Source organism: Homo sapiens, chromosome 17 (assembly GCF_000001405.40).
Source record: "Homo sapiens chromosome 17, GRCh38.p14 Primary Assembly".
Taxonomy (NCBI): Eukaryota; Metazoa; Chordata; class Mammalia; order Primates; family Hominidae; genus Homo; species Homo sapiens.
Window position 1 is genome coordinate 76,452,724 of NC_000017.11, and position 22,588 is coordinate 76,475,311.

General features: G+C 55.8%; 3 protein-coding genes across 37 annotated transcripts in view, besides 4 other annotated features; 1 reads left to right on the forward strand and 2 right to left on the reverse strand.

Moving 5' to 3' along the window:
* UBE2O (ubiquitin conjugating enzyme E2 O) overlaps positions 1-429 on the reverse strand; it is a 63,697-nt gene extending 63,268 nt beyond the window's left edge. For all 8 annotated transcript variants that reach the window (XM_017024935.2, XM_047436518.1, NM_022066.4 and 5 more), the window contains exon 1: positions 2-429. In XM_017024935.2, coding sequence (XP_016880424.1) covers positions 2-418 — 417 coding nt within the window. In that variant the 5' untranslated portion in view covers positions 419-429. The remainder of the gene's footprint in view (position 1) is intronic.
* Positions 101-640: a silencer, noted in NCBI's record as "silent region_9017". NCBI's record gives its function as "represses an Ori minimal core promoter by ATAC-STARR-seq in GM12878 lymphoblastoid cells {active_cell/tissue: GM12878}" and the evidence as "EXISTENCE:reporter gene assay evidence [ECO:0000049][PMID:35858748]".
* Positions 435-603: a silencer, noted in NCBI's record as "fragment chr17:74449240-74449408 (GRCh37/hg19 assembly coordinates)". NCBI's record gives its function as "represses an EF-1alpha promoter that drives an FKBP-Casp9 reporter gene in an ReSE screen in K562 erythroleukemia cells {active_cell/tissue: K562}" and the evidence as "EXISTENCE:reporter gene assay evidence [ECO:0000049][PMID:32094911]".
* Positions 628-17,394, forward strand: AANAT (aralkylamine N-acetyltransferase). Of its 3 annotated transcripts, NM_001166579.2 has the most exons (7): positions 628-1,059; positions 6,524-6,643; positions 9,593-9,757; positions 13,160-13,509; positions 15,949-16,186; positions 16,450-16,604; positions 16,942-17,394. In NM_001166579.2, exons 4-7 carry the CDS (start codon positions 13,450-13,452, stop codon positions 17,245-17,247), a joined length of 759 nt encoding a protein of 252 aa, NP_001160051.1. In that variant the 5' UTR covers positions 628-1,059; positions 6,524-6,643; positions 9,593-9,757; positions 13,160-13,449; the 3' UTR covers positions 17,248-17,394. The 3 variants fall into 3 exon arrangements, 2 of the variants coding, with proteins under 2 accessions (NP_001160051.1, NP_001079.1); NR_110548.2 differs by lacking the exons at positions 628-1,059; positions 6,524-6,643; positions 9,593-9,757; positions 13,160-13,509 and adding an exon at positions 14,880-15,004 and having other exon boundaries at positions 16,394-16,604; NM_001088.3 differs by lacking the exons at positions 628-1,059; positions 6,524-6,643; positions 9,593-9,757; positions 13,160-13,509 and adding an exon at positions 14,880-15,004.
* Positions 5,896-5,975: an enhancer, noted in NCBI's record as "active region_12808". NCBI's record gives its function as "activates an Ori minimal core promoter by ATAC-STARR-seq in GM12878 lymphoblastoid cells {active_cell/tissue: GM12878}" and the evidence as "EXISTENCE:reporter gene assay evidence [ECO:0000049][PMID:35858748]".
* RHBDF2 (rhomboid 5 homolog 2) overlaps positions 18,170-22,588 on the reverse strand; it is a 30,535-nt gene continuing 26,116 nt past the window's right edge. For 18 of the 26 annotated variants that reach the window (XM_011525251.3, XM_047436744.1, NM_024599.5 and 15 more), the window contains 10 exons: positions 22,307-22,418; positions 22,007-22,081; positions 21,650-21,811; positions 21,310-21,419; positions 21,116-21,179; positions 20,925-21,019; positions 20,529-20,604; positions 20,282-20,382; positions 19,963-20,116; positions 18,170-19,329 (listed from right to left, as the gene is read on the reverse strand). In XM_011525251.3, the coding sequence (XP_011523553.1) occupies positions 18,910-19,329; positions 19,963-20,116; positions 20,282-20,382; positions 20,529-20,604; positions 20,925-21,019; positions 21,116-21,179; positions 21,310-21,419; positions 21,650-21,811; positions 22,007-22,081; positions 22,307-22,418 (1,369 nt within the window). In that variant the 3' untranslated portion in view covers positions 18,170-18,909. Of the gene's footprint in view, positions 19,330-19,962; positions 20,117-20,281; positions 20,383-20,528; positions 20,605-20,924; positions 21,020-21,115; positions 21,180-21,309; positions 21,420-21,649; positions 21,812-21,936; positions 22,082-22,306; positions 22,419-22,588 lie in introns of those variants that run through there. The other 8 variants (NM_001005498.4, NM_001376230.1, NM_001376228.1 and 5 more) reach the window with 3 other exon arrangements.
* Positions 20,575-21,085: an enhancer, noted in NCBI's record as "H3K4me1 hESC enhancer chr17:74469380-74469890 (GRCh37/hg19 assembly coordinates)". NCBI's record gives its function as "activates a minimal SCP1, AML or CMV promoter by ChIP-STARR-seq in naive H9 embryonic stem cells {active_cell/tissue: H9 hESC(naive)}" and the evidence as "EXISTENCE:reporter gene assay evidence [ECO:0000049][PMID:30033119]".

Below are 22,588 nucleotides of genomic sequence, written 5' to 3' on the forward strand. Positions count from 1 at the left end.
CCTTGGTCTCCTTCACATGCTGCTTGACGCCCTCCGGGTACCACTGGACGCGCACGTAGCCGCGGCGCAGGGGGCTGGCCCGGCCCTCCTCGTGGCCCGCGCCCCCGGCCTCGGAGCACCCCGAGCTCCCGCGGCCCTCCTCCTCGCCCTCCGAGTCCGAGTCCTCGCCGTGGATGAGGCGCACCAGCCCGAAGTGCACGGAGCCACGGTAACGGCCCGACACCAGGTCGTGAGAAAACAGCAGGCGCTGCGAGCCGGCTTCTGGGCCGGAGTCCGAGGACGGCCCGGAGGCCGAGTCCGAGGCGGGCGCCGGCGCCGGGACGGGGGCTGCGGCTGGGGCCGGGACTGCCTCCGGGGCTGGAGCCGGGGCCTGGGCTGGAGCGGGAGCTGCGGGCGTGGGGGCTGCGGGATCCGCCATAACTGCTCTGCGCGAGTCTCGGGCGGCGGCGGCGACAGCGGCGGCGAACGAGGCGCGGGGAGGCGGGACCAGCGGGCGCCGGGGGCGGGGCCATAGCGCGCTGACGTGTCCCTGCGTGGCGCCGTCGTCAGGGAGCCGGGATGCAGTTGCTAGGAGCCACCGCCTCGTCGCTAGGGGACGCTGAAGATGCCGCGGGGGGCGGGGGCAGGATGGAATCCACTAAGAAGGGGCGAGACCAGTGAGGATTCAACTAAAGGGAGCGAGAAGGGGCGGGGACCCGGGAGGAGGAAGTGGAGTGGCCACCGAGGAAGAGGGGAGTGGTCGGGGTGGGGCACAGGATGGTGGAGAGACTGTCAACAACTTTTAATGAGCTCCCTTGGCGTCCTAGCCTAGCCCCCAGGCACTGGGAGCATTGCAGAAAGAGAAAGATACTGTCCCTGTCCTCTAGGTGTTTCCAGTCTAGTTGGGGAGACAAAACAAATACACATTAAATAGATAACAAACAACTCCAACTTGTAAGGCTATAATAGATACGTGTAGAGCATATGTATAATGCACTGTATTCAGGAATTCCAAGCAGTTCGAACGTCATGACCCCTCAGAAGTTGACCCAGAAGCTGGTGAAGGAGGCCCAGAGAAAGGTAACAAAAGGATCAGTGGTCCCAGTGGTTTGGCTACAAATCCATGCAGATAAATTCAAAGCTCCCTGAAGCCAAGAATGAATGGCAAGAGGTAGTATAGTAAGGTAGCTAAGAGTGGGGACCACGGATTCCAATTTTTGGCACTGCCACTTACTAATCTATAAAAATAGGCACACTGATTAACTTATTTTCATCTTAATTTGCTCATCTGTGAAATAGGGATGATAATAGCAATACTCATCTCATTGGGCAATTGGAGGATTAAGTGAAGTAGAACAGTGCCTGGCATTTAGCTCCTTCGATAAGCTTAACCATTGTTGTACTATTTCCAAACTCCCTGCCTAGACTAAATTCCAGACTGGCAGAACTGTTATGGTCTGCTCCATATTGTCATTTTAAAATATAAAAAGTAGGCCGGGCGCGGCAGCTCACACCTGTCATCCCAGTACTTTGGGAGGCTGAGGTGGGCGGATCACGAGGTCAAGAGATTGAGACCATCCTGGCCAACATGGCGAAACCCCATCTCTACTAAAAATACGGAAAAAAAAAAAAAATAGCTGGGCGTGGTGGCACATGGCTGTAGTCCCAGCTACTCAGGAGGCTGAGGCAGGCAAATCGCTTGAACCTGGGAGGCTGAGGTTGCAGTGAGCCCAGATCGCGCCACTGCACTCCACCCTGGGCAACAGAGCAAGACTCTGTCTCAAAAAAATAAATAAATAAAAATAAATAAAATATAAAAAGTAACTCTAGGGCCAGGCGTGGTGGCTCATGCCTGTAATCCCAGCACTTTGGGAGGCAGAAGCAGATGGATCACCTGATCACCTGAGGTCAGGAGTTCAAGACCGCCCTGGCCAACATGGCGAAATCCCTTCTCTACTAAAAGTACAAAAATTAGCTGGGCGTGGTGGTGTGCACCTGTAGTCCCAGCTACTTGGGAGGCTGAGGCAGGAGAATTGCTTGAATCTGGGAGGCAGAAGTTGCAGTGAGCCGAGATCATGCCACTACACTCCAGCCTTGGCAACAGAGCAGGACTCTGTCTCAAAAAACAAAAAACAAAAAAAAGGCTGGATGTGGTGGCTCTTGCCTGTAATCCCAGCACTTTGGGAGACCGAGGCGGGTGGGAGACCCGAGGTCAGGAGTTCAAGACCAGCCTGGCCAAGATGGTGAAACCCTGTCTCTACTAAAAATACAAAAATTAGCCGGGCGCGGTGGCAGCCGCCTGTAATCCCAGCTACTCGGAAGGCTGAGGCAGGAGAATCACTTGAACCTGGGGAGTGGAGGTTGTAGTGAGCCTAGATCGCGCCGCTGCACTCCAGCCTGGGCGACAGAGTGAGATTCCGTCTCAAAAAAAAGTAACTCTAGGCCGGGCACAGTGGCTCACGCCTGAAATCCCAACACTTTGACTGCGCCTGAAATCCCAACACTTTGGGATGCCAAGGTGGGTGGATCAGTTGAGGTCAGGAGTTCAAAACTAGCCTGGCCAACATGGCAAAACCCCATGTCTACTAAAAATCCAAAATTAGCTGGGCAAGGTGGCAGGCGCCTGTAATTCCAGCTACTTGGGAGGCTGAGACACGAGAACCACTTGAACCTGGGGGTTGGAGGTTGCAGTGAGCCTAGATCACACCACTGCACTCCAGCTTGGGTGACAGAGTGAGACTCTATCTCAAAAGAAAAAAACTAACTCTAATTTAATGTGTCACCTAAGTTTCAAAGGGTTTAGATACATTCTCAGAGGACAGATTTAAATGGATTGTTAAGGAAAACAAGATCTGGCCCTAACCTTTCTCAGTCAACATCATTTTTTCCACATTTTTCTACACGATCATCAACGAAAGACTAGTAAGTTGGATATTACAGTATTTAGGTTCTTCAAAGAAGGCAGAATCCCAGCTCTTTGTGTTGTTTACAGGATCCTGAAGATACAGAACTATGTTCATAGAAAAGTTGGTTGGGTGTGGTGGCTCACATCTGTAATCCCAGCACTTTGGGAGGCCAAGGCAGATGGATCATTTGAAGTCAGGAGTTCAAGAGCACCCTGGCCAACATGGTGAAACCCCGTCTCTGCTAAAAACACAAAATTAGCCAGGTGTAGTGGCGCATGCTTGTAGTCCCAGCTACTCGGGAGGCTGATGCAGGAGAATCGCTTGAACCCGGGAGCAGGAGGTTACAGTGAGCCAAGAACACATCACTGCACTCCAGCCTGGGCGACAGAGCGAGACTGCGTCTCAAAAAAAGAGAGAGAAAAGTTAAAAGAACATGCACAAGGTCGGGCACGGTGGCTCACGCCTGTAATCCCAGCACTTTGGGAGGCTGAGGCAGGCGGATCACTTGAGGTGAGGAGTTCAAGACCAGCCTAACCAACATGGAGAAACCCCATCTCTACTAAAAATACAAAATTAGCCAGGCATGGTAGCCCATGCCTGTAATCCCAGCTACTCAGGAGGCTGAGGCAGGAGAATCACTTGAACCCGGGAGGTGGAGGTTGTGGTGAGCCAAGATCGAGCCATTGAACTCCAGCATGGGCAACAAGAGCAAAACTCCATCTCAGGAAAAAAAAAAAAAAAAAGAACATGCACAAAACAGATGGCAGCCTAAGTACTTAAGATGTCTTAGGCCAAGTACTAATAGAGTATTGATGTAATATTGGGATCAGGGTGGTTGTCAATGGACCCAAATCTTAGAAAATTTATCTACTAAGATATAGAACAAATGGGCTGAATCAGCTGAAGGGGGAGTTAGGATATGATTTTGGGGCAAGGCTGGGTTCTCAAACCATGGCCTTCCCATCCCAGAACACAATGCCAAATGACCATCTGGAATCACTGCTGTAAGGACGCAGGTCCCTACTCCCTCTCCTGTAGAGACCTGGGAGATTAAACAGCAGTAACATAGTAGCTTCTGTTCTGCCTCCCATGACCCTTTCAGCCCTGTTTTCTTGCCCCCTGATAACATAGCATTTATTAAGCACATATTATTGACCAGGCATTGTACCAGGTACTTCCAAGCACATTATCTTGTCTGTTATCACAATCTTGGATATAGAGAGTTTTTAACCTCATTTTACCAATGAAGAAATAGGGCCCAAGGAATTTGGCGCCTAAGGTAACAGGTAGTAACCTGAGGAGTTTCCCCACTCTAAGGGCAGGGGCTTTTGTAGTTATGCTATTTCTTTAGGCTTCCCTCAGAAGAACTCCTGATTGCACAGGGGAGTCCATGTGTCTATGTGTCCCACGGCGGGATAAGGCAGTGCAGACCTCAAATCTGCTTTTTGTTTCATGGCAGGGTCTCACTCTGTCGCCCATGCTGGAGTGCAGTAGCGTGATCTTGACTCACTGCAACCTCCGTCTCCCAGGTTCCAGCGATTCTCCTGCCTCAGCCTCCTGAGTAGCTGGGATTACAGGCGCCCACCACCACGGCTGGCTAATTTTTGTATTTTTAGTAGAGACGGGGTTTACCATGTTGGCCAGGCTGGTCTCGAACTCCTGACCTCAAATGATCCACCCGCCTTGCCCTCCCAAAGTGTTGGGATTACAGGCATAAGCCACCGCACCCGGCCTCAAATCTGCTTTTGTTGTCAAAAAATCAAGTGAGTTTTGCATTGTACTCCAGAGTATGCCTATGTTTGTTGTTTTAATGTAAAAACTAATGCCCTTTCCTCCCTAATCATTGAGTAATATCGGCACTCCTGGAAGACGTGTTGTGTTTATTCTGCGGCTTCTTGTAATAATGGCTAATAATAGCTATCACTTATTGAGCTGTAACTTCATGCCAGATACTCTACTAAGTGCTTTACATAGATTATCAGGATACTGCCAGGTTGGAGGTAAGACTCCTTGATTTTACATGCTGATCTCTCCCTCACTAGACTAAACCCTTAAGCATGTGGACCATGTTGTATTTGTGTGTGTAACCCTGGTGCCTAGGACAGTACCTGGCATAGGGATGGAGCTCAATAATGTGTCGTATTAGGCTAGGCCCATACAGTGGCTCACGCCTGTAATCCCAGCATTTTGGGAGGCCAAGGTGGGTGGATCACCTGAGGTCAGGAGCTTGAGACCTGGCCAACATGGCAAAACCATATCTCTACTAAATATACAAAAATTAGCCAGGCTTGGTGGCGGGCGCCTGAAATCCCAGCTACTCAGGAGGCTGAGGCTGGAGAATCACTTGAACCCGGGAGGCGGAGGCTGCAGTGAGCTGAGATTGTGCCACTGCACTTCAGCCTGGGAGATAGAGCAAGACTCCGTCTTGAAAAAGAAAAAAAGAAAATTATCATGTTAGCGGATATCAAAGGCCTGAGAACCTGTACCTCCATTCTGTCAGTTTCCTATCCTTTTTCCAACAACCAAAAGTTGAAGAAGCTGGGACAGAGCTGCCCTCTTTGGCTGCTCCAAATCCTTTCAAGTGCCCCCAGTTTCAACTGCATCTGAGCTGCTTTAGAGAATGAGACTCAGTAAATTCCTACCCATCCGATGGTGTCTTTTATGGACCTCACTCAGACCCAAGATGCTCTGGATAAGGTTTGAGGCTTGACTCCTTCCCAGACCCTGAGCCCCCAGCCACGGTCTCCATACACTCAGGCTGGCTAGCAGGGTAAGTGTGGATGGAAGCCGCTGCTTAGTTTTTATTTTTGTCATTGTTGAGGTGTAGGAAGGAGGAAAAAAACTTGATTCCCTAATGAAGAAACCCTCTCTTATCATGGCCCCATCTCCCAGCCTTTCGTGGGGAATAGAGCTATTTCTTGGGAGGATTTCACTTATTTATAAATGTGCTTCCAGAAACTGAGCTGGTCTGGCCTCTCCCCTTGCTAAGTGGGGTGGGTGGTGTGCAGGAGGCGGCAGAGCCAGCAGCAGAGTGAACTGGTCTCAGGGAAGCAGGCCCTGTCTCGTCCCTATCTTAACCAGCCACTGGAGCACCTCTCTGGACCCACAAAGTATGCTCAGGCCCAACACTGCCCTCTGCGGGAGCCTGCTTGGCCTCTCCATTGCTGTGCAAGCGATTTCAGCCTGGCCCAAAGAGCTCCTTCCACCCTGGAGCAGGTGTTTGGGAAGGCTAGGGTGCCTTAGGCACTGGGGACTTCAGCTGGGGGGTGGGGTGGGAGGTGAGCTGCCTTGGGAAACCCCCCACACCCTCATGTGGCTGGCTGAAGAAATGCCTCCGAGGCTCCAGCTGAATGCCGCTCAAGGCTTTTGGAGTTAAAACGGCCCTTCTCATTCCTGGAGCCTCACCTGCTCCTTGCACAGGTGCCCTGGGAAAACTGTGGGACTTGCCCAAGGTCACTCTGCAGTACAGTCAGGATCAGGACCCAGCCCAGCTGGCCCTTGGCCATTCTGACTCCTGCTGTGAGGGTGGGTTGCAATCCACTGGGCAAAACACTTTATGCTGGGGCAACAGTGAAAAGTTTGAGCAATAGTGACAGCATAGGATCACCAGGTTCGTCCTGTTTCCCTCCTTCCTGAAGATACAGGGTGAGGCACAGTGAATCTGCTGGACCAGCTTCAAGAACAATATGTCAGCCTATCCACTGCCACCTCCCACAGCTCCAGACTCGTGGGTGCTTCCTGGATGTGACCAGCCATAGGTACAAAGTAGACTCATCATCTTTTCCTCAAATAGTTTCTTCTCCCAGAGTTCTCATCCTGATGGATGGCAGTATCACTTACCTGGGTACTGAGCTGGCCACCTGAGGGTCAGCCCTCACTCTTAAGCTCTACATGCAATCAAAGCCTGGGTCTTGGCCCCTCACTGCCTTTTCACACCCTTCCTGTCCAGAGCTGCCCCACCAGGGGGGCAGATCCATGGAGATGTGGGGAGGTGGGAGGTACAGTGGCTGAGAGTGAGCTTCCGGAGTCACAGGGACCTGGGTTTGAAGCTTGTGCTGCTGCTGGTCACTATGTGACCTTGGGCAAGTTATTTTACTCTCTAAGCCTCAGTTTCCTTTCTGTAAGGTGGGAATAATAATAATACCTACTTCATAGGACTGTGGAGACTGTAACTGACCAACTGAATATAACGTGCTTTGCCCAGTGAGTGCATGATGGCAGGCCTGATAACATTAGCTTTTCTTAGGAATTCATTTCCATCTCTTGCCTAGACCTCGGCTGTAGGCCCCTCACCAGGCCCCAGGCCGTCTAATCTGTCTGCTGCCTTGTTCCCAGGGTGACTGAAAATGCAAGCACGGTCATTGGACTCTTGGCTTTATATCTTTCTGTGGCTCCCCAGGGTCCACCCAAGAAGGTGCATGTGGCCTTTCATAAACTGATCTGATCCTTCCAACCCCCCTTCCCCCTCTGCATCCAGCATGGAGTGCTCTGTGCTCCAGCCTCAGTCACCTACTTCAGGAAATTTTTTTTTTTTTTTTTTTTTTTTTTTTTTTTTTTTGAGACAGAGTCTCTCTCTGTTGCTCAGGCTGGAGTGTCCTGGCAGGACCTCGACTCACTGCAACCTCCGCATCCCGGGTTCAAGACATTCTTGTGCCTCAGCCTTCTGAGTAGCTGGGATTACAAATGCCCCACCACCACACCTGGGTAATTTTTTTGTATTTTTAGTAGAGATGGGGTTTTGCCATGTTGGCCAGGCTGGTCTCAAACTCCTGACCTCAGGTGATCCACCTGCCTCGGCCTCCCAAAGTGCTGGGATTACAGGCATGAGCCACCAAGCTTGGCCTGTTTTTTATTTTTTTATTAAAAAAAATAATAGAGAGAAGGTCTCACTATATTGGCCGGACTGGTCTTGAACTCCTTGGGCTCAAGCGATCCTCCTGCCTTGGCCTCCCAAAGTGCCAGGATTATAGGCATGAGCCACCGTGCCCAGCCTCTTTTGGCTTTTTAAAATGTGGCTACTAGAACATTTAAAATCACATGTGGGGCTCACACAATCTTACTATTGGGCAGTTTGGCTCCATTACTTGGGGAGCCGTAGGTCCCTTCTTTGTCCAGGAGGTGGCAATCCCTCCCTGCCTTGGATGCTTCCATTCCAGAATGGTCTGGAAGGTTCCTGAGGTAAGTGCCTATCTAATACGGCGATATTGAGCCCCAAATAAGGCAGGGTCCCACTCAGCCCTGCCTTTGAGTCACCCACCTCAACGGAAGACTCTGGGCCGGGCGTGGTGGCTCATGCCTATAATCCCAGCAATTTGGGAGGCTGAGGGGGGCAGATTGTTTGAGGTCAGGAGTTTGAGACTGGCCTGGCCAACATGGTGAAACCCCGTCTCTACTAAAAATACAAAAAATAGCCAGGCGTGGTGGCATGTGCCTGTAATCCCAGCTACTCAGGAGGCTGAGGCAGGAGAATTGCTTGAACCCGGGAGGCGGGGGTTTCAGTGAGCCGAAATCGCGCCACTGCACTCCAGCCTGGGCGACAGAGTGAGATTCCATCTTAAAAAAAAAACAAAAACAAAAACAAAAAAACAGAAGACTGTGCCTCTAGCTGATAGGCACCTGCTCTGTGGGTGGCACGATGCCACATTCTCAACCCAGCCTCTGTTTTCCAGGAGTGCATAAGCCTCTTGGGGGGACAGGTGTGTAGTGGATGCTGTGGTGCACCTCCCCATCACATCCCTCTCCAAACACTGCCCTTGGCTAAAAGAAGATGCCTCCCCCAACCACTGACTGTCTGTAAGGGGCACAAAGCCTGGCCAACATGGTGAAACCCCGTCTCTATTAAAAATGCAAAATTTGCTGGGTATGGTGGTGGGCACCTGTAATCCCAGCTACTTGGGAGGCTGAGGCAGGAGAATTACTTGAACCTGGGAAGTGGAGGTTGGTGAACTGAGATTGTGCCACTGCACTCCAGCCTGGGTGACAGAGTGAGCCTCCACCAAAAAAAAAAAAAAAAAAAAAAAAAGGAAGGAAGGAAGGAAGAAATCAATCAATCAATCAATCAGTCAGTGGTGGGTGCAACATCTCAGGTGTCTGAGAGGTACAGGGATGGAGTAAGTGTAAGGACTGGGGGGCTGGATGGCTGTTGGGGCAGTCAGTGCAGAGGAGAAAGGCAGTCAGAGGCTGGGGGTGAAGAATCACTGCTTGAAGGCAAAGTGGAAAAGCCAGAGGGCCTCCTTGGCAGCATGTAAAGAAACTCGCCTCCTGAAGTTAAGGAACAGAGAGAAGTCAGCATGGCAGAGCCTGAGAGCAGGTTGAATTCCCAACCTTAATGAGTCAGCGATACAGAGGAGGCCCCTGGGGAGAAGCGGGAGCCATCCAGGGACAGAGGTTAGTGCCCCTCCTTCCTTGGGGACAATGCCTCTTCCTTAGGAGACATGTACTACCCCCTTCCCAACCCTGAGTATATACTGCACCTCCTCTTCTTGCACTGGGCCAGTAACTAGGGCTAAATCGCAACCTCACCTACTGGTGAAGTGCTGGGTCGGCTAAGGGAGGAAGGAGGCTCTGTCCTGAAGGAGCTGCAGGTCCCAGCCAGAGCCAGGAGAGTGGGGACTGGAATCAGAGGATGCTGGCTGGGCCAAGGGGATCAGAGCATAAAGTTGGATAAGGAACGTGTGTTGGTATGGGAGCTCTTTTCCCTGTTACAGAATTTATCACCCTGGCAAGGACCCTGGTACTTGGAAGCTTGGAGAAAGTGATTCAGGGCTCTTACCCGCAGTGGGCAGGACTGCTGACGGCTCCCAGCTGGATTTTCCTGCAACTGCCCTCAATGAAGCAAGCTGTTCCACCCAAGGTTGATGCAGGACAAAGAGGTGGGTCCAGAAGGGCTTCCCAAGTCTGAAGCTCCTCGGGGGATGCGCCAAGGCCTCGGTTACAGCTGCACCATCACGGCTCAGCTTCCACTGTCCAGCCCTCTGCCCTGCTCCATGGTAGGGGTCGCTCATGAGACCTCTCCCCAATAAACTTGCCGCACACAGTTCTCCATCTCTCATCCCCCGGGGAGCCTGCCACGTGGTAGTACTCAGGCTGGAAAGGTAAAGACGATAACGCGAGATGTGCTCAGTGCCAGGTCTGTGGGGCAGACCTTTAGTGCAGGGGAGGAGTTGAGAGAGAAAGTGACCATCGAAACCACCAAAAAAATGCAGCCATTGCACAAGAGCCTGAAGAGAGGGCTATGCTTCCTGCACGCCGGGCCTCTCAACTGCTCTGCATGGAAAACCGGTATCTCAGAGGCATCGTCAAGGTGTCCCTGGGACATGGCCATGGGGCCCACTCCTTGGTCTGCCCCAAATGGGCTCCCTTCAGTCTGGGTGTGAAACTGGGCAGCTGACACACGGAGGGGAGGGGGTGTGTCTCCATGCGGGAAGCTCCCAGATTCCAGGTCCAGGGCTTCTGCACTGGGCCCGGTGGGGATGCTCACTGCCCCTGCACCAGGCTCTCCGGGGGTATCAGCAGCTGCAGCAGGCTCGGTGCCCGGGATGGGGTGGGGGCCGTGGGGAGGTTTTCTCCAACCCCCGGCCGTGGCAGCGAGTCAGTGTGCCTTTAATCAACGGCCTCTGCACTCCACCTCTCACTGTCACCATTAAGGCCATTCCTCTGCATCTGGCCTCTCCACCCATTTCTCCCTTCTGGAAGGATTCCTTTTTTTTTTTTTTTTGAGATACAGTCTTGCTCTGTGGCCCAAGTTGGAGTGCAGTGGTGCAATCTTGGCTCACTGCAACCTCTGCCTCCTGGGTTCCAGCAATTCTCCTGCCTCAGCCTCCCGAGTAGCTGGGATTACAGGCACCCACCACCACGCCCAGATCATTTTTGTATTTTTAGTAGAGACGGGGTTTCACCATGTTAGCCAGACTGCTATTGAACTCCTGACCTCGAGCTATCCACCCACCTCAGCCTCCTAAAGTGCTGGGATTACAGGTGTGAGCCACCGTGCCCGGCCTTTTCTGGAAGGATTCTTAAAGGTCATCGGAGCCTCCCTGTTGGCAGAATCTGAGATCTGTTCTCCATTCTTTGTGGCATTTCAGGCTCTATCTGCCCCATTTCTTGGACATTCTCCCCTGGGTTCTTCCCTTCTTGTGGCTTCACCTGTGTTCCTGTTAATAACTCCTTTCCCTGCTAACAGTGGACATCCCAAAAGCTTGGTTCTCAGCTTTCGTGTGGTGATACACATCCTCTCAGAACCTTTTTTACTGTCATGATATCAGTTATCCGCTCAATAACTGTCGTCATCATCCTCACCACATCTGATTAGGAGTGGGATGGGGGCTCTGATGGGTCAGAGGTGAGGCTCTACCAGGGCAGGTGGGGAGTTAGGTAGCATGGTCCCTGGCAGTTCTCTGTGTGCCCTGGACAACCCCTCTCCAAACTGCTATAGAATATTCTGGAGTCCTGCCTGGGTGCGGTGGCTCACGCCTGTAATCCCAACACTTTAGGAGGCTGAGGCAGGTGGATCACCTGAGTTCAGGAGTTTGAGACCAGCCTGACCAATATGGCGAAAGCCCATCTCTAGGAAAAATAAAAAAAATTAGCCAGGCATGGTGGTGTGCGCCCGTAATCCCAGCTACTTGGGAGGCTAAGGCAGGAGAATTGCTTGAACCTGGGAGGCGGAGGTTGCAGTGAGCCGAGATTGTGCCATTGCACTCCAGCCTGGGCCACAGAGCAAGACTCTGTCTTAAAAAAAAAAAAAAAAAGAATATTCTGGAGTCTTGAAGTGGAAGCCCAGTCACAGACCATGATTTTCATGGGACCGAAGAGCCTTTTGGGAGAAAACTGAACCCCATCTGGCATTTGAAATGTGTAAATCTGTCTGGGAGATCGAAAGAGGCCAGGCTGGGTGGAGAGACAGGGGGACCCCTGAGGGGAGCCATCATGGGTGAGGCAGGGTGGCATGGTACACACTGGGCAGGGAGTCGCGGTGGGTGAGTTGTGGATACAGGACTTTCAAGGGAGCTGCTGCTGGAGGGAGAGGCTGGGAACAAAGAGCCTCGGCCTCCCAAAGTGCTGGGATTACAGGCATGAGCCACGACGTCAAGCCATTTCTGTGGTTTACAGTCATCCAGTTTGTGTATCATCTGTTACAGCACCCCTGGGAAACATACAGATGCCAGCTTCTCCCTGTCTGTATCTATATATTTTTTTTTTTTGAGATAGCAGTTTCACTCTTTTTGCCCAGGCTGGAGTACAATGGCACGATCTTGGCTCACTGCAACCTCTGCTTCCTGGGTTCAAGCAATTCTCCTGCCTCAGCCTCCCAAGTGGCTGGGATTACAAGCGCCCACCACCACACCTGGCTGATTTTTTGTATTTTTAGTAGAGACGGAGTTTCACCATATTGGCCAGGCTGGTCTCGAACTCTTGACCTCAGGTGATCCACCCGCCTCAGCCTCCCAAAGTGCTGGGATTACAGGCATGAGCCACCGTGCCCGGCCTTGCCCATCAGGTTAGGTGTTTATCAGCTGTCTAGAGTGACTGAACAGGTACGACTTGGGGGGCAAAGGACACATTCTCCCCCCCATCCCCAAGATCCACCTGAGAGGCAGTCACCAGAGGCGTTGCCAGCACTCTTAACTGCAATAGCAGGACAAGACTGGGCATCTGATAAACAGTGCAATCGGTGTCCCTGGCGTGAGGATGATCTCGGAGGTGCTTCTTTTTTAGAGCCCACCTGAGGTCAGGATTTTTTTTTTTTTTTTTGAGACAACATCTTGCTCAGTTACCCAGGCTGGAGTGCAGTGGCTCATCACTGCAGCCTGAACCACCTAGGCTCAAGTGATCTTCCCACCTCAGCCTCCCAAGTAGCTGGGGCTACAGGTGTGTGCCACCATGCTTGGCTGATTTTTAAATTTTTTGTAGAGACAGGGGTCTTGCTATGTTGCCCAGGCTGGTCTCAAACTCCTGGGCTCAAGTGATCCTCCTGCCTTGGCCTCCCAAAGTGCTGGGATTACAGGTGTGAGCCACTATGCCCAGCCCCAGGGATCTCCTTCTCTCTGTACCCATCACCCTGTTGGGCCCCTCACCCTCCTTATTTTCCTTCTCATTGGTGGTGGTATGTGGTTTTCTTCCTGTTGACCAGGACAAAGGTCCCAGCGATCACCCTGCCCTCCCCTGTCTCCTCTCCTGTCCCACAAGGGTTTGAACTTCCCAGTTTCACCATGTTTAACATACCGCCTCATCTTTAAAAAAAATTTATTTTTATTTGTATTTTTTTGAGACAGGGTCTCGCTCTGTCGCCCAGGCTGGAGTGCAGTGGCGAGTCACTACAGCCTCGACCTCTCCGGCTCAAGCCATCCTCCCGTCTCTGTCTCCCAAAGTGCTGGGATTACAGCGGTGAGCCACTGTGCCTGGCTTACTGCCTCATCTTGTTCCCTGAGGTTCTAGACCTCTAGGGTGTTGTCCGGAAAGAACAGGGCCATGTGGAAGTCAGCAAAGAGAGAGGCCGATTGAACAGCAGGCTCTTCTCAGGCATCGCCAAGTGACTGATTAGGATTGGCCACCAGGGGGTGCCATGGAGCCACAGTCTATGAAGGGACAGAAGAGGCCTTTTGGGGGACCCTGGAGGTTGAAGGTGGGGATGCCCAGCTGAGGTCTTGGACATGACCACCCCACCAACCAAGCCCAAGGAGGTCTCTGGTCGGTCCTGAGAGGTCTGTTGAGGGTCCCTTCTAGCAGGCAGGTGGGCCTCAGAGTGCAGAGGGGCCCTGGGAGAAGGGGACCCAGAGACAGGAGGAATGCATGTGGTGGGTGGGCGGGGGCATCGGGACGGGGTCACTCCACGGTCAGGGGCTGTGTCCCAAACCGTATGGGTAGGAACAGGAGCTTCCTCTGCGGGGGGGTCGAAAGAGTGCACCTGTGAGGACACTGAAAACCAGCAGGAGAATCATGAAGACAGGAAACAGGAGTCTCATTGTGAGATGAGTGGGTCCCACCAGTGCAGCCGTGGCAGTGCATGTCAGGAGGCTGACCCGGCTTTGCCCCTCCCCCTTCACTTGTTGGATGGCTCTGAGCAGGTTACTGAACCTGTCTGTGCCTCGGTTTCCTTCTCTATAACGTGGTTAATACTCATTTGGCCGGGCTTCCGTGTGGATTAAAGGAGACGCGTATCCAGGGCCCGGCACATAGCAAGTGCTGTAAGCAGTGGCACTCACAGGCTGCCAGGACAGGAAGGACCCTCAGAGGTCCGTCCCAAGCTGTGTGGGTAGGAGCAGAAGCTTCCTCTGCAGGGGGTCAAAAGAGTGCACCTGTGAAATCCAACCTCCAGGACCCCCAGGAGCCCGAGATGGACACAGGATCTGCACTGCTGGGTGGGGCGGAGAGGCAGGTGCTGGCGAGAGAAGAGCTAAGGGGTGCAGGATGGGGTGTGAGCTGGAGGGCAGGGGGTAGTCAGAGCCAACAGGGAGAGGGGCCTGCATCCCGAGGGAATGCCAGCACCAAGTGCCAAGGCCTGGGCAGCCCTGGGAATGGGTGGAGCCAAGGTCAATAGCAGAGAGCTTTGTAGTTGAGATGTTTGGTAGGGCAACCTCCTGAATATTTAAATATTTAATTAAATTAAATATTTAAATAAACTTGAAGTAGAACGTACTTAAAGTGCACAAATTGGTAGCTTGAATTCCCACCCCCTCCCCCCACATAAGAGGTGGGCTTGTCCAAGACTCCGAGGGACAGAGGGAGAATCGCTGGTGCCCAGCCAGTCGGTGACAGAGCAGGGATTAGAGATGGACCCCTGAGGCTTAGCCCCACGCTCTCTTCCCCAAACCCTGGGGCCTCAGTCAGCCTCTGGTAATCCCTTCTGTGCCCAGGGCACCAGAGCTGACGTTTCCCTTCAGCAAGGCAGGGGCCGAGGCTGCCAGAGCCCTGCTGGCGTCATCCTGCCTGGGATAGCTCGAGAGGTGGGGTGGGGGGATTACAAACCTCTAACAGCACCACAGGCTGCCCGGGGAACATCTGCTACTACAGCCTTGCAGCCCGGAGTCCCGGATTTTACTGGTTCCCGTGCCTGCGGACAGGCCCCCAGGGCTAGCGGCTTTGTGGAGGGAACACTGGGTATCCTCTCCACAGTCCAGGTAGGTGGGACCCCCACTCCTGGCTCTCAGCCTTTAGGAACAGGAGCTTCTCTACTTGGAGCTTCTAGACATGGAGGGAAACATGGAAGCCATGGAGTTTATTAAGTGTCTTGGAAGGTGGAGGGAGGGATGGCCTCCTCTAAGAACTGCAAATCTGCAGGGTGTCTTGGGAGACAAGAGTGCCCAGAGGGGAATGTCTGATGAGCTGGATGTGTGGGGCAGGGGGTGTCCTATGCACTCTCCTTGCCTGCTCCTCCCCATTCCCCAGGCCCTCTGCAGCCCCCGGCTCCCTCTAACCTCCCCACCCCCCACCACAAATCCTGCATGTGTGTGGCCCAGTCTGAGGCCATCTGGATAGAAGTAGAGGCTCCCTAAGGGCCCACTTTGATTAAGGGGCTCTCTAGGACCAAGGGCTGAGGCTACCTAAAAAGCTCTCTGCCACAGGATCTTGCACCCAAAGGACCAGAAGCCTCCCTCTGGGGAGGTAAGATAAACCACATGAATGGTGGTGTGGGGGAACCGGGCGCCCACCCACTGCACAGTTGCATTAGACGTGGTCAGTGGAGGGTCACGAGTCCTGCCTCCCCTCCCACCGTGGGCAGCAGGGTTGGGGTGCCCCAGGCTCCACTGAGCCCTGCTCATCCCTGCCACCATCTCTGGGGCTCAGAAGCACCCAGACGGCACCCTGAGACCAATGTCTGCAGGTCTGCAAGGTGGCAAACCTCCAGGGATCCTTCTGGCTGAGAGGGAAAGGTGGGGAGACAGTGCCAATGTTTGCAATGCCTGGTAACAGCCTCGGGGACCAGGTACCTGGGGAATGTGCCCATTGATTTAGGGGCTGTCTCCACCCCAGTTCCTGCTACAAAAGAGGCCAGATACATACTCTGGGGCCTGCCTCCCTGGAGATGAGGATGAGACCCCTGTCCCTTGCTGTTCTCCAACAGGTGCTGGGAGGCCCTCCTTGGCTTAGGAGGACACTTCCAAAGCTGGGGCGCCCCAAGGAGGCACCAGTGGCCAGAATGTCCACGCAGAGCACCCACCCCCTGAAACCTGAGGCCCCACGTCTGCCACCTGGGATCCCCGAGTCCCCGAGCTGTCAGCGGCGCCACACACTCCCTGCCAGTGAGTTTCGCTGCCTCACCCCGGAGGACGCTGTCAGCGCCTTTGAGATCGAGCGTGAAGGTGAGTGGCCCCGCACAGGGTCAGAGGGATGCTCCACTCTGGTCCAGTTATCCTGTGGGGAGGAGACCCTTAGTCTCCTGTCCTTGGAGGCTGGGTCCCAGAGTATCAGACCATGTGTGCGCTCAAGAAAGTGGGGGAAACAGCAGCCCTAACCCCCATTTTCCTGTGGGGAACGGGGCATCTGAGTGGACACTCGGGGTGCAGCAGACAGTGGACGCGAGGCACAGCGACTACCAGTCACCCACCTGAGCCTCCTGCCACAGCCTTCATCTCCGTCTTGGGCGTCTGCCCCCTGTACCTGGATGAGATCCGGCACTTCCTGACCCTATGTCCAGAGCTGTCCCTGGGCTGGTTCGAGGAGGGCTGCCTTGTGGCCTTCATCATCGGCTCGCTCTGGGACAAGGAGAGACTCATGCAGGTGAGGACAGGGCTGCGACGCCCAGCTCCAGGGAGGCCTCTGAAGACAGAGGTCAGCCAGATGGCGGGGAGGGGAGCCCAGGGGCTGGGATTTCTTCCTCCAGAACTGGAGAGATGAGTACAGGCCACAGGCCCCTCCCAGAGCAAGACCTTCTGGGTCTTCAAGTTTTCTCCATGGGGTTGGGGGTATGGCTCCCAATTTGGGGCCCTCCTTTGCTGGGGTGGGTGCCCTGACCACAGGCACCCAGGGGACACCTGCTCCCTGCCTGGGTTGGTGGTTGGGGGGGAGCACGTGTCAGCAGAAGTGACCTGGGATCTCATCCCTTGCTCGCTCCCAGGAGTCACTGACGCTGCACAGGTCTGGGGGCCACATAGCCCACCTGCATGTGCTGGCCGTGCACCGCGCCTTCCGGCAGCAGGGCAGGGGCCCCATCCTGCTGTGGCGCTACCTGCACCACCTGGGCAGCCAGCCGGCCGTGCGCCGGGCCGCGCTCATGTGCGAGGACGCGCTGGTACCCTTCTATGAGAGGTTCAGCTTCCACGCCGTGGGCCCCTGCGCCATCACCGTGGGCTCCCTCACCTTCATGGAGCTCCACTGCTCCCTGCGGGGCCACCCCTTCCTGCGCAGGAACAGCGGCTGCTGAACTGGGCTGCCCACCTGGCTGCCAACATGATCCCCGTCTCTGCCCTGGGCTCCTCTTAGCTCAGCTGAGCATGGAGACAGCAGTTTCCAGAGAGTGGAGAGAGCAGGGCTAAATAAAGAGGAGATAAGGTGGCTTCTCACGGCCTGAGCTGGAGTGGTGTGTCTTGTCTGTCCCCACGAGGCCTCTGGACCTCCTGTGTTCTGAACTCTGTACCTGAGACCGGGCTGGGTTGGTAAGCGGGGACAATGGGAGGTGCTGTGGGGTTCCTGGCTCCTTTCCTCCTGGCAGGTGGGCAAAGGCACCAAGGCGGCATCCTCACAGTAGCCCATTGCTCGGTGGGGGGGGGGGGTGTCCTTATTCTCCCCAGCCTCATGGATGCCGCTTCCCACCCTTAGCCCCTAGGGTGGGGGAGAGTGGGGAGCAGCAGGATGGGGCAGAGGCGGGAGGCCTGTGCTGTAGAGGCAGCTTGGGGCAGGGAAGCTGGTGCAGGGCCCTCTGCCCATGGTAATCAAGTGGTCATACCCGGTGCCTCACTGGCCATCCTCAGTGTGGTGGGTGAGGCACTGGCACAGGGAGTGGACTCGTCCCCGGGTGGGGTGACAGGTCCCCTCAGTGCCATCCCCATCAGGGCAGGCCACCCTGGGCCCAGGCAGCCCCTTCCCTGCTCTGGAGCCAAGGCAGAACAGGTAGGGGTGGGAACCCCAGGGCCCTAAGGATTCAACCCAGCCCTCCCAAGTGGACCCCTGGGGTCTCCCACGTGACCCCAATCTGCTTTCTGGCCCAACTAATTCCCCAAGATGCTCCACAAGTTTTCTGCTGTCCACCGGGCCAAACTGCTGTCTCTGAGCAGCTGATGGCTGACCCCTCACCTCACCCCCAAATCCCAGTTTCATGCTACCTGAGGTCTCCGTTAAAGACAATGTACTGCCATAAAGAATATTATTTAATCCATGAGACATCGTCCGTACAAAGTTAGCGTTACTTTTAAAAATGAAGACCGTGATATAAACTGGTAAAAAACGGGCCTGATGCGCCTCGAGCACTCCCTGGGAGCAGGCCCTGGGGTGGCTCCGCCCAGTGTCGTTCTACCTGAGGTCTACTTGTGTCTCCCCCCTTGTTCTCTGCCCCCAGACCATGGCCAAAGCCTTTCCCACAATGTCCCATCTGAGAGCCTTATGGATGGGCTCACAGGGCAGAGGTAGGAGGAGAAAGAGGAAGGGGCATGGTGGGCACCCAGCCCTGGGGGCAACTGAGGGCACAGCCACGTCCCCAGCAAGGGCACGCTCCAGTAGTAGTGGGGGAGAAGGCACCAGCAGAGGCAGCGCTGAGGACCTGGGAAGAAAAGGACCCTGCCCCAGGAGATGGTCTCAGCAAGGAGCGGGATATTAGGAACTGAGACCCAAGACTCAGAGAGGCAGGTGCCTTGGGTGTGCCTGAGCTTGGGTCAGGATCTCACAGGCCTCACGCCCCAGAAAAACCCCGCCTTAACCAACCATCTCACGCGGAGTCAGCCTCGCCTGGCAGGGGGGCACCCAGGTCCAGAGCCCGGGCCCTGTCTTGGGTCTCTGGCTCTCTGGCACACAGAGAGCGCTCTGCAGAGGGCAGCCCTCGCAGGCAGACCCTGTTCCAGCAGGGCTGAGGGGCAGCCGTGTGGCCCAGCGGTCAGTGCAGCACCTGGTCCAGCTCATACTTCTCGCAGAAGCGGCTGGTGAAGGGGAAGCAGGTGAGGTGCTCGATCCAGGGCCAGTTAATGGGGTAGATGTACAGCCACAGCACGAGGGCGGCGAAGAGGCCGGCAAAGGCCAGCAGTGACACCAGGATGAGTGCCCGCTTGCGGTACTTGTCGCTGGTGCCGAAGGTGATGTAGGGCAGGAAGGCGAAGGCCAGCAGCAGGCCACTGAGGAAGCCGAAGATGTGGGCGATGTTGTCGATCCAGGGCAGGAGGCCACAGATGAACAGGAAGAGCACGATGGCCGAGAGGTTGAGGAAGGCCTTCCAGGGCCTCTCCAGCAGCGGCCAGCTCTGGAAGAGCTCCACGAAGAGGCAGGCGAGGAGGCCGAACTGTGAGCCGGCCGGGCCCACCTGGGGCGGGGCAGGGGAGACGTGGCTTCAGGCATCAGGTGGGTGGCCTGGGCCGGGCCTGCACCCTGGGTCATCCCATCGATCAGCTCCTCCCTGGCAGGCATGGGGACCCCTGAGGCTGAGGGGCAGGGGGTCGGCTGGAGCTGCTGGACCAAAGCTGGGCCTGCTCCGCCCATTCTTTCAGCAAACACTGAGCGCCTACTGTGTACGTGCCTGGTGTGGGTCCGTAGCAATAAGCAAGACAGACAAGCCTGTTCCAGGCCGCACACGGTGGGGAGAGGACGGACACTGAACAAACTAGATCAGTCAGGTGGAACTGATCAGACTGCCGACGGCGCACGGAGGCCATTTCCTACCGCTCGACCTGCAGATACCTAGCATACTGTCAGGCAGTGGGCACGGTTAGGAAGATAAATGAGGCGGTGGAGGGACAGGGTGACTCAAGAGCATCACTGTTCCCTCTCACTGGGATTAAGAGACCAGCCAGTAAGCCCCCAGATTAGCTGTCCCTCCGCTGTGGAGCCCAGTACAGGAGGGGCACCGTGTCCCTCTGGCAGATCCCAGGTGGGTGGAATAGGAGCAGCAGGGCTGGCCCCCTATGTGCGGAAGGGGTCCCATCCTCCACATCCTTACCTCTGCCCGGTATGGGAGAAAGATGGCACTGGCGAGGTTGCCTGTGATGCCACTGAGGATGAAGATGATGGCGATACGGTGCCAGCCGGCCAGCTTCTCCAGGTCCCTCAGGATGGTCATTTGAAAGACCACAGACACGAGGCAGTGCACCACGCTGGGGGAGGGACACACCAGGCAGCGGCCTTCAGCCAGGCACTTCAGGAGCAGTAGGCTTCGGCAGGTTGGGCCGGCCATGCCCTGGCCCAGGAACCTTTCCCCAGGGGTCCGGCTGGGTGGCCATCACAGGGGTCGGGTTCGGGGGCAGTGAGGAGCCTCTTACCCAGCATGTAGGAAGAGAGACAGCCAGAGCCTGTAGAACTGATCTGGGACCTCAGGGTTGAGGAAGGGCAGCAGCCCACACACCTTGTCCAAGCAGTGCACCTGGGAGTGGGCATATGGTGCTCAGCGCCCCAGAAGCAGGCTGAGTCTGAGGCTCCGACATGGGAGGGAGTGCGTGAGCCCCGGCCCCAGCAGGCTGCCATGCCCAGCGTCCTCTCCTCCACTACTCCAGGCCTGCCTCGCCTCACCTGGGAGCAGAGTGTTGCTTCCTCATGGAAATAGCCGTGCATGAACTCACAGTATTCCCGGGTGGTGATCTCACAGCTAAGGGGGTGGTGAGGCAAGAGGGGACATCAGGGCGCCGAATAACCACTGCCCACCTTTGCCCAGAGCCCAGCACCTGGCTACAGGAGGCATCGCTGGCAGGAAGGGGGATGCCGCATCCAGAACCTTCGACTCTGGAGCAAGCTTCCTTCCTCCAGCTCGCACCATGGGTAGCCCCAGAGCAGGGGAGCAAAGGACAGTTATTGGAGGGCATCGGCCCAGCGGCTGTGGGTGGTGACGGTGGAGGAGCAGAGGGCCCACAGGAAGCCGCAGCTCGGGGGGGCAGTGGGATGGCTGAGGCCAGGGCCCAGGTCGCTCACCTGCCCTTGGTGCCGATGCAGCAGGGGCGGCCCTTGATCTCGCAGTCCATGTGCAGGAAGCCTGTGTGGTTGCTCCTGGCCTGCTCTGTGCAGATCTGCCAGGAGGGGGCACCGGCAGGGAAGTGGGCTGTGCAGCAGGCAGGTCCCCCATCCCTGACCTTCCCAGACCACTCCCCGCCAGGGACACTCACCGGCCACTTAGTGATGTCATCGGGCCAGATGTGGGCACCGCTGGAGGCTGGCTCCTCGCAGGTCCTGGAGACAGGGTTCAGATTGGGCTGTGGCACACCCAGCGTGCCACGTCCACCTACCCACGTCCCTGTGGGTGGCTCAGATGGCATGGCTATGCCTGACCCTGAGGCCCAGCAGAGGCTCCAGGCCCTACCTGGGGTCCTGGTGGCAGACAGCCCCCGAAGTCCGCTTCTGGCCCAGATCAGACTTGTCCATGGGGGGCCCAGTGTCATCCTGCCACTTGACAAAAGTGGCCAAAGTCTCCTGGAGGGCAGAAGAAGGCTGGTGGGTCATGTCGGGGCCAGGTCACCCCCACTGGAGTGGGCAAGGACAGAGGCTTTTCCCATCTCCCCAGGGCTCAGTCTCATCTATGGGGGTCTGGGAAAGGTGGGGCGGGGAGGAGGGAACGTGGTCACTGCCCTTGAAGGACAGGGCAAGTGGAGCTAGTCCGGGACCAGGGTCTGGCAGGGGTAGGAGGGAGGGCCTGCCCCCACCGAGCAGTCCTTCCGCTGGGTCTGGATGCATCCGGAGTGGTCATTCTGGACACAGCAGCCTGAGTCCCGCTCCAGGTCTCGCTCGCGCAGCACCAGCTGCTCGATCTGCCCGTCCTTCCGGATGCAGGGTGAGAACTTGGCCCCCAGGTGGATCAGGTCAATCTGGGGAAGGGAAAGGGAGGGGAGAGAGTGAGTTTGAGCCCCAGACCTGGGAGGGGTCCATCACTCCACCTCTGCCCCGCAGAGTCTCCCCTGATGAGGGGCCTGCGGGTGGGTGAGGAGCCCACCTGCCCAGCTGGGAGTGACAGGGCACAGGGACTCCTGGCTCAGATGATGTCCCCCAGCCTGGGCCCTCACCGAGCTGGGGCCAACCCAGAAGTTCTCCTGCTGGATGTACTTCACGCTCTCGTACACACCTTTGTTCCGCAGCACCTATCGTGGAGGTAGCACAGAGGAGGGCGTCAGAACAGTGTGGGCCCTGGGCATGGGGAGCTGGGGCAGCTGTCCCCAGGATAGAGCCTCCAGGAAGGGGCCAGGCTATGGTGAGCACCACCCTGCTGGGGCCAGATTGTTGCGGTGGGAGGGATTAGGTACCCACGACACTGAGGCCTCCTAGGAGAGGCTGGGACCCCCAGCATGGAGCCTGACCCGACTCACCAGCTGGGTGGTGACGTGCTGGGCAAAGCCCACGGGTGCGATGCCATACGTGCAAATCACCAGCAGCGTGATGATGACATGGACGAAGGTCAGCCAGTAGGTGAAGTAGGGCCTGTGCAGAGACACCTCGGGTCAGCTGAGCCGAGCTCCTATCCCAACCCCCAGTCCCGGCCACAGGGCCACCCTGGCCTGGTCACATGGCTCGCCTGGGCTCCCTGTTCTGCCCCGTCAACTCATCTCAAACCAGAGGAACTTTTAAGACGAGCCTCCAAGCATCTCTCT

Coding starts and splice junctions, on each gene's coding strand:
- AANAT (NM_001166579.2), top strand. CDS start 13,450: ATGGAGCCACAGTCTATGAAGGGACAGAAGAGGCCTTTTGGGGGACCC. Junction 16,187..16,449: donor CTTTGAGATCGAGCGTGAAG/GTGAGTGGCCCC, acceptor CTCCTGCCACAG/CCTTCATCTCCGTCTTGGGC. Junction 16,605..16,941: donor ACAAGGAGAGACTCATGCAG/GTGAGGACAGGG, acceptor GCTCGCTCCCAG/GAGTCACTGACGCTGCACAG.